General features: G+C 47.1%; 4 annotated features.

Moving 5' to 3' along the window:
- Positions 2,645–3,294: an enhancer, noted in NCBI's record as "OCT4-NANOG-H3K27ac-H3K4me1 hESC enhancer chr3:186582731-186583380 (GRCh37/hg19 assembly coordinates)". NCBI's record gives its function as "activates a minimal SCP1, AML or CMV promoter by ChIP-STARR-seq in naive H9 embryonic stem cells {active_cell/tissue: H9 hESC(naive)}" and the evidence as "EXISTENCE:reporter gene assay evidence [ECO:0000049][PMID:30033119]".
- Positions 6,074–6,871: an enhancer, noted in NCBI's record as "H3K27ac-H3K4me1 hESC enhancer chr3:186586160-186586957 (GRCh37/hg19 assembly coordinates)". NCBI's record gives its function as "activates a minimal SCP1, AML or CMV promoter by ChIP-STARR-seq in primed H9 embryonic stem cells {active_cell/tissue: H9 hESC(primed)}" and the evidence as "EXISTENCE:reporter gene assay evidence [ECO:0000049][PMID:30033119]".
- Positions 9,000–9,603: a transcriptional cis regulatory region, noted in NCBI's record as "candidate enhancer chr3.5443 targeted for multiplex CRISPR interference". NCBI's record gives its function as "positively regulates ST6GAL1 gene expression in K562 cells {active_cell/tissue: K562}" and the evidence as "EXISTENCE:mutant phenotype evidence [ECO:0000015][PMID:30612741]".
- Positions 11,835–12,823: an enhancer, noted in NCBI's record as "NANOG-H3K27ac-H3K4me1 hESC enhancer chr3:186591921-186592909 (GRCh37/hg19 assembly coordinates)". NCBI's record gives its function as "activates a minimal SCP1, AML or CMV promoter by ChIP-STARR-seq in primed H9 embryonic stem cells {active_cell/tissue: H9 hESC(primed)}" and the evidence as "EXISTENCE:reporter gene assay evidence [ECO:0000049][PMID:30033119]".

Consider the following 15,545-nt stretch of genomic DNA (forward strand, 5'->3'; position numbering starts at 1 on the left):
AGATATGCTAGTTTGTACTCTGACAGGAGTCTGTACTCTGACAGGTTTTTTCTAGACTTTTCCTTGGGATACTTACTTACCTGTTGAGTCTTCTTTGCCCCAGGTTGAGGAGAACTCACAGGAATTTGTCCAATCCTCTTCTTTTTAGTATAGTCTTGGTGGGTGGGAGGCTACAGTGATATTAGAAGCCTTGCCATGCTCTGGCAGAATCTTTTGTTTCCTTCCTCAATAGCCATGTTTTGAAGTCTGTGACTTGTCATTACACCCTTTTCTTAATTTTGCTTCTGGTGAATTTTCAGGGGTGTTAATGTTTTTCTTTTTTGATGGTCATTTGAAAGAGCACACAGGTGAGACTGTATAAGATTTTTAAAAACAGTAATTTAGGTGGGATAGGCAGCTAACCTTGCTAGGTACTGAAAACATATTACAAAATCATAGCAGTTAAAACAGAGTATCCTGGCTCAGGCGCGGTGGCTCAAGCCTGTAATTTCAGCACTTAGGGAGGCCGAGGTGGGTGGATCACTTGAAGTCAGGAGTTCGAGACCAGCCTGGCCAACATGGTGAAACCCTGTCTCTACTAAAAACACAAAAATTAGCCGGGCTTGGTGGACATGCCTGTAGTCCCAGCTACTCAGGAGGCCGAGGCAGGACAATTGCTTGAACCTGGGAAGTGGAGGCTGCAGTGAGCTGAGAATGTGCTGCCGCACTCCAGCCTGAGCAACAGAGTGAGACTCTATTTCAAACCCCCACCGCGCCCCCCCAAAACAGAGTATCCCTAGCATAAGAATAGACAGACAGGTTAATGAAAGATAAGAGTGACCAGAATTAGACCCTAAGATATGTGGAACTTTAATATGTGATAAAAGATTTATGCACTTTAGTTATTTAGAAAAAAAGGAACACTCTTGGCCTCTTCCTCATATATACTTGAAAAATATTGCAAATAGTCCCTCTCCCTCTCCCTCTCCCTCTCCCTCTCCCTCTCCCTCTCCCTCTCCCTCTCCCTCTCCCTCTCCCTCTCCCTCTCCCTCTCCCTCTCCCTCTCCCTCTCCCTCTCCCTCTCCCTCTCCCTCTCCCTCTCCCTCTCCCTCTCCCTCTCCCTCTCCCTCTCCCTCTCCCTCTCCCTCTCCCTCTCCCTCTCCCTCTCCCTCTCCCTCTCCCTCTCCCTCTCCCTCTCCCTCTCCCTCTCCCTCTCCCTCTCCCTCTCCCTCTCCCTCTCCCTCTCCCTCTCCCTCTCCCTCTCCCTCTCCCTCTCCCTCTCCCTCTCCCTCTCCGTCTCCCTCTGATGCCGAGCCAAAGCTGGACGGTACTGCTGCCATCTCGGCTCACTGCAACCTCCCTGCCTGATTCTCCTGCCTCAGCCTGCCGAGTGCCTGCGATTGCAGGCGCGCGCTGCCACGCCTGACTGGTTTTCGGTTTTTTTTTGGTGGAGACGGGGTTTCGCTGTGTTGGCCGGGCTGCTCTCCAGCTCCTAACCGCGAGTGATCCGCCAGCCTCGGCCTCCCGAGGTGCCGGGATTGCAGATGAAGTCTCGTTCACTCAGTGCTCAGTGGTGTCCAGGCTGGAGTGCAGCGGCGTGATCTCGGCTCGCTACAACCACCTCCCAGCCGCCTGCCTTGGCCTCCCAAAGAGCCGAGAGTGCAGCCTCTGCCCGGCCGCCACCCCGTCTGGGAAGTGAGGAGCGTCTCTGCTTGGCCACCCATCGTCTGGGATATGAGGAGCCCCTCTGCCTGGCTGCCCAGTCTGGAAAGTGAGGAGCGTCTCTGCCCGGCCGCCATCCCATCTAGGAAGCGAGGAGCGCCTCTTCCCGGCTGCCATCCCATCTAGGAAGTGAGGAGCGTCTCTGCCCGGCCGCCCATCGTCTGAGATGTGGGGAGCACCTCTGCCCCACCGCCCTGTCTGGGATGTGAGGAGCGCCTCTGCTGGGCCGCAACCCTGTCTGGGAGGTGAGGAGCGTCTCTGCCCCGCCGCTCCGTCTGAGAAGTGAGGAAACCCTCTGCCTGGCAACCGCCCCGTCTGAGAAGTGAGGAGCCCCTCCGTCCGGCAACCACCCCGTCTGGGAAGTGAGGAGCGTCTCCGCCCGGCAGCCACCCCGTCCGGGAGGTGAGGGGCTCCTCTGCCCGGCCGCCCCTACTGGGAAGTGAGGAGCCCCTCTGCCCGGCCAGCCGCCCCGTCCGGGAGGGAGGTGGGGGGGTCAGCCCCCCGCCCGGCCAGCCGCCCCGTCCGGGAGGGGGGAGGGGGGGTCAGCCCCCCGCCTGGCCAGCCGCCCCGTCCGGGAGGTGAGGGGCGCCTCTGCCCGGCCACCCCTACTGGGAAGTGAGGAGCCCCTCTGCCCGGCCAGCCGCCCCGTCCGGGAGAGAGGCGGGGGGGGGGGGTCGGCCAGCCGCCCCGTCCGGGAGGGAGGTGGGGGGGTCAGCCCCCCTTCCGGCCGGCCGCCCTGTCCGGGAGGTGAGGGGCGCCTCTGCCTGGCCGCCCCTACTGGGAAGTGAGGACCCCTCTGCCCGGCCAGCCGCCCCGTCCGGGAGGGAGGTGGGGGGGACAGCCCCCCGCCCGGCCAGCCGCCCTATCCAGGAGGTGAGGGGCGCCTCTGCCCGGCCGCCCCTACTGGGAAGTGAGGAGCCCCTCTGCCTGGCCAGCCGCCCCGTCCGGGAGGGTAGTGGGGGGGTCAGCCCCCCGCCCGGCCAGCCGCCCCATCCGGGAGGTGAGGGGCGCTTCTGCCCGGCCGCCCCTACTGGGAAGTGAGGAGCCCCTCTGCCCGGCCACGACCCCGTCTGGGAGGTGTGCCCAGCGGCTCATTGGGGATGGGCCATGATGACAATGGCGGTTTTGTGGAATAGAAAGGCGGGAAGGGTGGGGAAAAAATTGAGAAATCGGATGGTTGCCGGGTCTGTGTGGATGGAAGTGGACATGGGAGACTTTTCATTTTGTTCTGTACTAAGAGAAATTCTTCTGCCTTGGGATCCTGTTGATCTGTGACCTTATCCCCAACCCTGTGCTCTCTGAAGCATGTGCTGTGTCCACTCAGGGTTAAGTGGATTGGGGGCGGTGCAGGATGTGCTTTGTTAAACAGATGCTTTGTTAAACAGATGCAGCGTGCTGGTTGAGAGTCATCACCACTCCCTAATCTTAAGTACCCAGGGACACAGACACTGCGGAGGGCCGCGGGGTCCTCTGCCTAGGAAAACCAGAGACCTTTGTTCACTTGTTTATCTGCTGACCTTCCCTCCACTATTGTCCTATGACCCTGCCAAATCCCCCTCTGCGAGAAACACCCAAGAATGATCAATAAAAAAAAAAAAAAAAAAAAAAAAAAAAAAAGGGGCCCAGGGGACAGGCATTCAGCATATGGAGGATCCACGCCAGCCCCGGCTGCTGCGTTCCCTTAGTATTTATTGCTCATTATCGGGCGTGACAGGATAATAGGATAATGGTGGGGAGGTCGGAAGGTAAACACGTGAACAAATGTCTCTGCACCATAAACAAGGTAAAGAAAAAAGTGCTGTGCTTTTGATGTGCATATACATAAACATCTCATTGCCTTAAGGAACAGTATTGCTGCCAGCATGTCCCACCTCCAGCCCTAAGGCGGTTTTCTCCTATCTCAGTAGATGGAATATACAATCAGCTTTACACCCAGACATTCCATTGCCCAGGGATGAGCAGGAGACAGAAGCCTTCCTCTTATCTCAACTGCAAAAAGGCGTTCCTTCCTCTTTTACTAATCCTCCTCAGCACAGACCTTTTACGGGTGTCGGGTGTCGGGCTGGGGGACGGTCAGGTCTTTCCCTTCCCACAAGGCCATATTTCAGACTCTCACATGGGGAGAAACCTTGGACGGTGCCTGGCTTTCCTGGGCAGAGGTCCCTGCGGCCTTCTGCAGTGTTTTGTGTCTCTGGGTACTTGAGATTGGGGAGTGGTTTGAGATTGGGGAGTGGTGATGACTCTTAACAAGCATGCTGCCTTCAAGCATTTGTTTAACAAAGCACACCCTGCACAGCCCTTGATCCATTTGGCCCTGAGTTGACACAGCGCATGTTTCGGGGAGCACAGGGTTGGGGGAAGGGTTACAGATTGGCAGCATCTCGGGGCAGAAGAATTTTTCTTAGTGGGGAGCAGAGTGGAGTCTCCTATGTCTACTTCTTTCTACACAGACACAGTAACAGTCTGATCTCTCTTTCTTTTCCCCACAATGTGGTTTTGGGCGCCTGTAGTCCCGGCTACTTGGGAGACTGAGGCAGGAGAATTGCTTGAACCTGGGAGGCAGAGGTTGCTGTGAGCCGAGATTGTGCCACTGCACTACAGCCTGGGCGAAAAAAGCAAAACTCCGTCTCAAAAAAAAAAACAAAACACTTGTGATTTGGGGGTTTTGTGGAAATTTAATTACGATGAAAAATCTGTATCTTTTTTGTAATGTTGGCATACTTGGGTAATTTTGTGGCAAATATATTTCCCAGTGGACCTTTTGTTGGTGGCACTAACTGCAAGGTTGCTGGGAAAGTGGAGTCTGTTTGGTGGATGAGCTCTGACTGCCGTTTTGGAACCTCACCTCTACTCATGCTGTCTCAAGTCCTTGTCTCATTCTCCAGCTCTCAGTTCAAATAAAGTTATTTCTCCTGGGAAAAAAAGTTCCGTGAAACGCACACTGGATGACAGTGCTGAAGTTGGGTGCCCTGGGAAGTCCTCAGGACACCCCTGCATGAAGGCTGCCCCAGGAGAGCAGCGCAAGGTTGTGGAGGTCTCAAAGCTCTGAAGAACCTGCCTACCGAAGACAGGAGTGCCCACAAAACAGTTGGCCCATGGGCTCCCCAAGACCTACGTGTACCTCGGAGGCATTTGGCAGAAGATTCTTTGTGAACAAAAATCTCTGCCCACTAGGAGGCAGGAGTGTGTGTGTGTGTGTGTGTGTGTGTGTGTGTGTGTTGAAACCAGAACTCCACCTTATGTGTTCATTGTGGAATTTGAAAATGGAAGCCTAAAGTTGAAAATTAAAATCACCCGTGATAGCTGTAAAAAAAAAAAAAAAAAAAAATCGTAAATGAGTTCTTACTTTGGAAGCATATATACTAAAGTTGGAATGAAACAGAGAAGATTAGTTACTGATTTCATTTTTCAATAAGTTTAGATTTATTATGTTGGTTTCCCAATTTAAAAAATTGACTTCTTAAAAAATCAAAAAAAAAAAAAAAAAAAAAAAAAAAGAAAAATATTGCAAATAGATCAAGTAGTTAAATTAAGGGTGAAAAATGAACCCATAAAAAACCACTCTAAAAGTATATAAAAATGGCTACTGAGTCTCTAGATCAGAGGGGAGACCTTCTAAGTTTAAAATAAGAGAAGAAGCAAAAGAAGAAACATAAATAGATGTGACGACATAAAACTTTAAATTTCAAGGCTTTATAAAAAATGGCCAAAATTACAAGGCAATCAGCAAACCTGAATGCGGGAGGTACTAAAAATTCCTTGACCAGGGGAGTCCTTTGACACAGGGTTTTGTTTGTTTGTTTGTTTTTGTGACGGTGTTAAGGATAAGAAAGGAACAAGACAAGCAAGCAAGGTGAGGCTTGCCCTAGGTCAACCTCTAGTGTTCATGGAGAGGAAGCTGTAAATTGTGAGGACTAGGTTCAGGAGTGGTTGCTAGGGAGGAGGTAGCCTGTGGCTGAGCTGGGAAAAGTTGCAGCAGAACCACTGCCCTTACAAGAGGTAAGTGCAAGTCACTTGGGGTGACCTAAGACAGAACTTCTTTTTTTTTTTTTTTTTTTTTTGAGGTGGAGTCTTGCTCTGTTGCCCAGGCTCGAGTGCAGTGGCACAATTTCGGCCTCCTGGGTTCACGCCATTCTCCTGCCTCAGCCTCCCGAGTAGCTGGGACTACAGGCGCCCGCCACCACGCCCGGCTAACTTTTTGTGTTTTTAGTAGAGACAGGGTTTCACCGTGTTAGCCAGGATGGTCTCGATCACCTGACCTCGTGATCCACCCGCCTCAGCCTCCCAAAGTGCTGTGATTACAGGTGTGAGCCACCACGCCTGGCCTAAGACAGAACTTTTGCTTTTCCATTATTCTTTTTTTTTTTTTTTTTGAGATGGAGTTTCACTCCTGTCGCCCAGGCTGGAGTGCAATGGTGTGATCTCGGTTCACTGCAACCTCTGCCTCCCAGGATCAAGTGAGTCTCCTGCCTCAGCCTCCTGAGTAGCTGGGATTACAGGTGCCCACCACCACACCTGGCCAATTTTATATTTTTAGTAGAGACAGGGTTTCTCCAGGTTAGCCAGGCTGGTCTTGAACTCCTGACCTCAGGTGATCCGCCCACCTCGGCCTACCAAAATGCTGGGATTACAGGTGTGAGCCACCGCGGGGGCCTGTCCTTTTTTTTTTTTTTTTTGAGATGCAGTCTGGCTCTGTTGCCCAGGCTACAGTGCAGTGGCATGATCTCGGCTCACTGCAACATCCACCTCCTGGGTTCAAGCGATTTTCCTGCCTCAGCCTCCCAAGTTGCTGGGACTACAGGCATGTGCCACCACGCTCGGCTAATTTTTGTATTTTTAGTAGAGACAGGGTTTCACCGTGCTGGCCAGGCTGGTCTCGAACTCCTGACCTCAGTTGATCCCCCTACTTTGGCCTCCCAAAGTGTTGGGATTACAGGCATGAGCCACCACGCCCGGTCCCATTATTCTTCTTAGACAAAACAGATCCTTTCAAAGGAATGGTAAACTTGGATTACACAATATATTTGTTAAAAAATTGGAATCTCATGCCTGTAATCCCAGCGATTTGGGAGGTGGGAGGGTCTCTTGAGTTCAGGAGTTTGACACCAGTCTGGGCGAAACAGGGAGACCTCGTCTCTACAAATTTTTTTTTTTTTAAATTGGAATCATCCTGAACATCTATTGTTTGGCCCGCCTTTTCAAATGATTTGAATGCTTTTCTACACCACAAAATATAATTTTCAAATGTGTTGTCTTTCAAATGTGATTTGTATGTGGATGCATAATGTTTCCTTATATGGATGTCACTGTCATTTATTTGAGCAATGTTTATGCCTAGAAATGAGACTTGTTGGCAATGTGTATATAGTTGGAGCAAAATGTCTGAGTACTTTGAAAAATGGTGTCAGAGCCCAAATGACTTGGACATCTCCACTCTGAGCCAACTGGCTCAGTGTTAGTCACAACTGGAAAAGGGAGATGGAGAGAATGCCTCACAGACTCATGAATGTGTTTGTATGATGTTATTAACAGAGTAAATTATAAAATCCAGACCTACAAAAGGTCAACTATTTCGTATAATTTGAGCTTGTAGAAAACTTCCTGAATATTCCACTGCTGCACACACACATCTGTTAACTGGCTGAGGTTTGGCAAAGGCAAATCAGTGTTAAGAGTTGAAGTAGCAGCTCTTTCTCAGATTCACACATTCCTTTTCACTTATTGGAAACAAGATATTATCTGACTCCTAGTGTTGCTTACTTGGCAGGCACCTTTCAGTAAATATGAATACATTAAATCTCAGCCTTAAAGACAAAGACCTTACTGTCTTCCTAATTCATGACAAAAATCACAGCCATAAAATAGAAAGAATGAATTCTGGTATTCAGCTGAAGAAAAAGTTTGACTGAGTTGCTTTCCCACCCTGGAAAACTTTCTCTCAGAATAATTTCATGATGGATGATTCTGTGAGGAATGAAACAATGCTGTATCATTGCTATAAATGCTGTAATGTCTGCATGCCAAACTGCTTTCAATTAGTGTTTTCTCTGGAAACTGGAAAGTATGACACAGTCGAGGCATTAGCATGCCCATTTTCTTCAGTAATAAAAAGAAAGGATACTGAGCGGAACTCAGGTGTGATAGAGATTTGAGGTATTTCCAAGTGACGCTTGCCTGACACTCTGTTAAATAAAATTAAAAAGAAAAAAATAAAAGCAAAAAAGATCTCTCTAAGTGGTATGGCATGATTTCTCAGCTACAGCAAAAGAAGCTACCATTATACCCTGCCTTTTCCTCCATCTTGTCTAGAGAACCTAGACGTATAAACTCATAATTTCCTTTTAACTTAATAAAAATTTATAAAATAGGATACAGGAGTTAAGAGGGGGGATGGTTTAGGGTGATGGAAATGTCAGGAGGTCTTTGTGTTGGGGATGACATTTGAACTAGGTCTTGCTAAACTGAGGAATAAAGGAAGATATTCCATTTATAGTGAAGAGCAGATGCAATGTCAAAAAACAAACAAAACATAAATAAGTTGATAAGGCAAGGTGAGAAGTTCAGTGTGGCTGAGAAAAAAAATATGCAAGACAAAAGGTCAGAGATAAAGTTGAGTGTGGCCAAGCAAAGCAGATAGGGTAGAAAGTATCTGGACTTCATCTTTCCATGACGGAGGCCAACAAAGAACTTTTAAGCAGGAGCAAAATATGACCAGATTGACATTATGTCAAGGTCACCTGCTGGAGTTACTGATAATTGGAAGATATTTGTTATTGGTCCCAGTAAAGGAAGACAAAAGCAGTGGTAATTGAATTGAAGACTCAATCCTGGAGAAATTTCTGTGTTAGAATTATACAGTTAGGATATAAAATGATAGACCACTGTTTAATTCCATTGGAATGTGGGTATGAGCCAGGTGAAAGTATGAGTGTGTGTCAGGTGGAGGTGGGAGACTTGGCCGCTACGCTCAGAGAATAAACAGACACAGAGTTTGCCACATACCTCTATCCTATCAGATGGGGGCTGTGCTCTTGAGAAAGTGGTGGATATGTCAGTCCATTCAGGAAAATCCTCTGTGACCTCCCTCACATTTGAACAATTGAAATTACGGGAAGAGTGCTTTCTCTTAGGAAGTCCACTTTATTAAATGTGCCCTCTGGATGCTACGTTTGTATTGAGAATTAGTGCTTTTTAGTTCATTTATTTTGTCATCTTAGATTTTCATGCTGTTCTGCGAGTTATCTTAGCAAAGGGCTCTCTGTAGGTTGAGGGATGATGTTATGAATAGTCGGGGTGAGGTACTTAGAATTTATATAACTACAAGCCTTATGAAAGTGTCTTCTGAGGCCGGTGGAAGCCTTTTGATGAAGACCTTTCAGGGGTTGATCACAACCAGTAAGAACCTGGTTCTCCAATTATGATGATATTTCTGATTTACTTTTCAGCCTATCCAAGCAAATGTTCAGGTCAATTAGGGTTTCTCAGAAAGGGGCAGGAAGTGCATACAGCAGTCAGGCAGATTATCCAGACGTACCACTTCCCTTTGTCAGCTTATCACTGAGTCTGGCTTCCTCCTTGATTGGGTAAACATCCTTTTCTTACCCCTGTTTTTCCCCAAAATCAGCACTTTCCTAATGATTTCCTGTTTCTGAGCAAAATCTTCCATAAATCAAACATGAAATCAAGCAGGATAAATTAGTAAGGCCAGCCATGGAGAGACAAGGTGAAGTCCTACAATTTGTCTGGGGTATGGAAAGTTCAAGAATTAGAAGGGGGTGCCATATCCAGGACACACAGCCTGCTATCCCTTCCTTCTGCTCAGGGCTGTGTGTCATGATAGGAGACACTGATAGGCAAAAAGATCTCCATGAAAGTTAACTAAGATTAGAAATAAACATTTGTCATTTAAGAGCGTCAGATAACTTCTAATTAGTATAGTGCTTATATCCAAGGTTGCAGGATAAAAATGCTTCACAGTGAATACATTTCTACTACTTTCTTTATATGACTGGCAATTTTTTTCCTTGAGCCACTGACAATTTTATCAGGGGAAGAGTTTTCTTCTAGTGATCATAACTTTGATAGCTGTCTTAGTCCATTTTATGCTGCTAAGTAGAATACCTGAGACTGAGTAATTTATAAAGAATAGTCCAAGATCACGGTGCTGGCATTTGGTGAGGGGCTGGTTTCTGCCTGCAAGATGGCGCCTTGCGTGCTCCATCCTTCAGACGGGAGGAACGCGATGTCCTCACATGGCAGAAGAGCAGAAGAGAGGAAACCTGCTCCAACAAGCTTTTCTTAATAACGGCATTCATTAATTCATTAGGGAAGAGCCCTCATGACTTAAATACCTTCCAAAAGACCCTACCTCTCCACACTGTTGCATTGGGGATTGAGTTTCCAACACATAAATTTGGGGGATACATTCAGACCATAACAATAGCTTAGTTTTTGATATGCCAAATATCTTTTTCAAAAAATGTTTTCGTTACATTGTTCACATTATTTGCTAAACACAGTGGCACATGCCACCCCCAGCTACTTGGGAGGCTGATGTGGGAAGATCTTTTGAGCCCAGGAGTTTGAGACTGCAGTGAGTTAGGATCACACCACTGCACTTCAACCAGAGTGAGACTCTGTCTCTAAAATAAAATAAATACATGGTTTATATTATATATCATAAACTGGTGTCTCCTAGGAGAACTTATGATGAATTCAAACTGTGTTAGTTTATGTAAATGTTAAACAGTAAGTTTACTAATGTTTTCTTTTCTTTTTTGAGACGGAGTCTCGCTCTGTCGCCCAGGCTGGAGTGCAGTGGTGCGATCTCGGCTCACTGCAACCTCTGCCTCCCGGGTCCACGCCATTCTCCTGCCTCAGTCTCCTGAGTAGCTGGGACTACAGGCGCCCGCCACCACGCCCGGCTAATTTTTTGTATTTTTAGTAGAGACTGAGTTTCACCGTGTTAGCCAAGATGGTCTCGATCTCCTGACCTTGTGATCTGCCCGCCTCGGCCTCCAAAAGTGCTGGAATTACAAGTGTGAGCCACGGCGCCTGGCCTAATCTTTTCTTAAGACTGCAATGTATTAAAATCTGTAAAACTAAATTTTTCACGGGGTTAAGATGAACACTTTACTTGGACCCTTTTCTGTAACAATAGAAATAAAAGTGATTCTGTCAGTTTTCTTGATTATTAAACACATTGAACAAAAACTTTGTTTTGTTGCTCTCCCTCCTCTCCCTCTCCCTCCTCTCCCTCTCCCTCTCCCTCTCCCTCTCCCTCTCTTTCCACGGTCTCCCCCGATGCCGAGCCAAAGCTGGACTGTACTGCTGCCATCTCGGCTCACTGCAACCTCCCTGCCTGATTCTCCTGCCTCAGCCTGCCGAGTGCCTGCGATTGCAGGCGCGCGCCGCCACGCCTGACTGGTTTTCGTATTTTTTTGGTGGAGACGGGGTTTTGCTGTGTTGGCCGGGCTGGTCTCCAGCTCCTAACCTCAAGTGATCCGCCAGCCTCGGCCTCCCAAGGTGCCGGGATGGCAGACGGAGTCGCGTTCACTCAGTGCTCAATGGTGCCCAGGCTGGAGTGCAGTGGCGTGATCTCGGCTCTCTACAACCTCCACTTCCCAGCTGCCTGCCTTGGCCCCCCAAAGTGCCGAGATTGCAGCCTCTGCCCGGCCGCCACCCCGTCTGGGAAGTGAGGAGCGTCTCTGCCTGGCCGCCCATCGTCTGGGATGTGAGGAGCCCCTCTGCCTGGCGGCCCAGTCTGGAAAGTGAGGAGCGTCTCTGCCCGGCCGCCATCCCATCTAGGAAGTGAGGAGCGTCTCTGCCAGGCCGCCATCCCATCTAGGAAGTGAGGAGCGTCTCTGCCAGGCCGCCCATCGTCTGAGATGTGGGGAGCGCCTCTGCCCGGCCGCCCCGTCTGAGAAGTGAGGAGACCCTCCGCCAGGCAGCCACCCCCTCTGAGAAGTGAGGAGCGTCTCCGCCCGGCAGCCACCCCATCTGGGAGGGAGGTGGGGGTCAGCCCCCCGCCCGGCCAGCCGCCCCGTCCGGGAAGGATGTGGGGGGGTCAGCCCCCCGCCCCGCCAGCCGCCCCATCCGGGAGGTGAGGGGCGCCTCTGCCCGGCCGCCCCTACTGGGAAGAGAGGAGCCCCTCTGCCCGGCCAGCCGCCCCGTCCGGGAGGGAGGCGGGGAGGTCAGCCCCCCGCCCGGCCAGCCGCCCCGTCCGGGAGGTGAGGGGCGCCTCTGTCTGGCCGCCCCTACTGGGAAGTGAGGAGCCCCTCTGCCCAGCCAGCCGCCCCGTCCGAGAGGTGACGGGCGCCTCTGCCCGGCCGCCCCTACTGGGAAGAGAGGAGCCCCTCTGCCCGGCCAGCCACCCCATCCGGGAGGGAGGTGGGGGGGTCAGCCCCCCACCTGGCCAGCCGCCCCATCCAGGAGGGAGGCGGGGAGGTCAGCCCCCCACCCGGCCAGCTGCCGCGTCCAGGAGGTGAGGGGTGCCTCTCCCCGGCCGCCCCTACTGGGAAGTGAGGAGCCCCTCTGCCCGGCCACCACCCCGTCTGGGAGGTGTACTCAACAGCTCATTGAGAACGGGCCATGATGACAATGGCGGTTTTGTGGAATGGAAAGGGGGGAAAGGTGGGGAAAAGATTGAGAAATCGGATGGTTGCCATGTCTGAGTAGAAAGAGGTAGACATGAGAGACTTTTCATTTTGTTCTGTACTAAGAAAAATTCTTCTGCCTTGGGATCCTGTTGATCTGTGACCTTACCCCCAACCCTGTGCTCTCTGAAACATGTGCTGTGTCCACTCAGGGTTGAATGGATTAAGGGTGGTGCAAGATGTGCTTTGTTAAACAGATGCTTGAAGGCAGCATGCTCGTTAAGAGTCATCACCACTCCCTAATCTCAAGTACCCAGGGACACAAACACTGCGGAAGGCCGCAGGGTCCTCTGCCTAGGAAAACCAGAGACCTTTGTTCACTTATCTGCTGACCTTCCCTCCACTATTGTCCTGTGACCCTGCCAAACACCCCTCTGCGAGAAACACCCAAGAATGATCAATAAAAAAAAAAAAAAAAAAAAAAGAAAGTTGAAAAAAAAAAAAAAAAAAACTTTGTTTTGTTTAAACTGGTTTTGACTAAAGAAAAAGAATTTTAAAAATGGTTTTGATGGTCTCCCAAATCATCTATGTCTCCTTTTCTTTCTTTTCTGGGCCAGCTATTGGGTTGCTTGATGGAGATCAAAAGATGAGTTTGAAAATGAGACACAGTTCATGGACAAAAAACCTCATTAGTATAAGTAGGTCATTTCTGTCCCTCCAAGTTAATCCGTACAGTCAATACAATTTTAATTAAATCCCAGCAAAGTTTTCATGGCATTTTCCAGGCTGATTCTAACATTTTTATGAAGGATGAGAGGGCTGAGAAAAGCCAAATTTTTCTAAATAAAGAACATGGATAGAGAGTTTGTCCTTCTGGATAATGAGACTTATTACAAAGCCATAGTAATTAAAACAATGAAGTTTAGTTCATGGACAAAAAAATAAATAGAACCAGACATGAATCGGTGAATATATGAGAATTTTATTCCATATGTTCATGTAAAATAATTCATAATGAAGGTTGCTTAACAGATCAGTGGGAAAATTATAGATAATTTAATTACTGATGCTGGCATTACTGACTCTAAAGATTTTTTAAATCATGAAATTGAATTCCTTTCTTGCTCCATACAAAGAAGTTAATTCCAAGAAAGTTAAAGACTTAAATATTAAATAAAAACTTTAAAATTTTATTTATTTATATTTTAGAGATAGGGTCTTGCTCTGTTGCCCAGGCTGGAGTACAGTGGTACAACTGTAGCTCACTACAGCCTCAAATCCTGGGCATGAGTGATCCTCCTGCCTCAGCTTCCCGACTAGCTGCAACTACAGGTACATGCCACCAGGTTTGGCTAAAACTTTAAAAGAAAACATGAAGGTAAGAAAATATTTTATAAACATGACTCAAAAGATATAAACAATAGAGGAAAATATTTATATATCTTGATGCAGTAACATGAAAAACTTCTGTTAATCAGAAAATAATCTTCAAGAAAGTGAAAGAGACAAGCCACGAATAGGGGGAAAGTTATTTGCACCACATATCACTGGTAAAAACATTCAGGAGACATAAAGAATTAAAAACCAGTCATATAAAAATTAAATAAAAGTATCAAAAGATACATGATTGGTCATTAATATACAAAAAGATGGCTATTCTTTTTTTTTTTTTTTTTTTTGAGACGGAGTCTCGCTGTCGCCCAGGCTGGAGTGCAGTGGCGCAATCTCGGCTCACTGCAGGCTCCGCCCCCTGGAGTTCACGCCATTCTCCTGCCTCAGCCTCCCGAGTAGCTGGGACTACAGGCGCCCGCCACCTCGCCCGGCTAATTTTTTGTATTTTTAGTAGAGACGGGGAAAAGATGGCTATTCTTATAAGTAATTTAGGAAATTAAAACTAAAACCACAATAAGATACTATCTAAAAAATTTATAGTAACATCAAACTATTTAAAGAATCTACATTGAAAACTATAAAACACACTGATATTTTAAAAAAATCAAAGTAAATGAAAATATATCATGTTTATGGACAGAAAGTTTCAATATTACTAAGATATCAATTCTCTCCAAATTGATCTATAGATTCAATTTAATCCCTGTCCAAATCCCACCAGTCTTTTTTGGTAGGATTTCACAAGCTCATTCTAAAATTTATTTGGAAATGCAAAAGACCTAGAACAGCCAAAACAATTTTGAGAAAAAAAAGAATCAAGTTCGGAGACTTACGCTACAGAAATCAAGAGTGCATGGTATTGGCAGAGAACAGCCACATAGATCAATAGATAAGAATAGAGAACTCAGAATTAGACCTACAAATTAGAACACTTATAACTCAATAATGAAAAGACAAATAACCATATTTTTAAAAAGAGAAACATGAAGATATATGAATGTCCAATGAGTTAATAAAAATACGTTGAAAATCATGAATCATTAGGAAAATGTAAATTAAGATGATGAATACCCGTCCATAAGCACTAGAATGACTAAAATTAAAAAGTCTGACCATGCCAAGTATTGGTGAAAACGTGGAGCCACTGGAACTCTCTTACTTTGTTGTTAGATATGTAAAATAGCCAACCACTATAGAAAAGCAGTTTGATAGTTCCTTATAAAGTTTTACATTTACCACCCAAACTGGAGAAATGAAAACATCTGTCTGTTAAAAAGTTGTACATGAATATTCATAGTGGATTTATTCACCACTCGTAATGGCCTCTAAAAACAACCCAAAACTTCATCTACAGGCAAATAGTAAACAAATTGTTGTGTATTCACCCACTCAGCAATTAAAAAGACATTTCTGATATTTGAAATAGTATAGTATAATCAAAAAAATGTTACATTGAGTGAAAGAAAGCTGAATTCAGAATTTTAAGTACTGTATGATTCCCTTTATATATACAGGTGTAGATTGTGCAGAATAAATGTATGATGATAGAAATAAGATCAGTGGTTGTTACATAAGGTGGTGGTGGTGGTGGTGGTGAGGAGAAATTGGCTGTAAAAGAACATGAAGGAAATCTATCTATCTATATTTTTTTGAGACAGAGTCTTGCTCTGTGGCCCAGGCTGGAGTGCAGTGGTGCCATCTTGGCTCACTGAAACCTCCACCTCCCGGATTCAACCAATTCTCTTTCCTCAGCCTCCTGAGTAGCTGGGATTACAGGTATGCGCCACCACGCCTGGCTAATTTTTTTGTATTTTTAGTAGAGATGGGGTTTCATCATATTGGCCTGGTCTCGAACTC

Source organism: Homo sapiens, chromosome 3, assembly GCF_000001405.40.
Source record: "Homo sapiens chromosome 3, GRCh38.p14 Primary Assembly".
Taxonomy (NCBI): domain Eukaryota; kingdom Metazoa; phylum Chordata; class Mammalia; order Primates; family Hominidae; genus Homo; species Homo sapiens.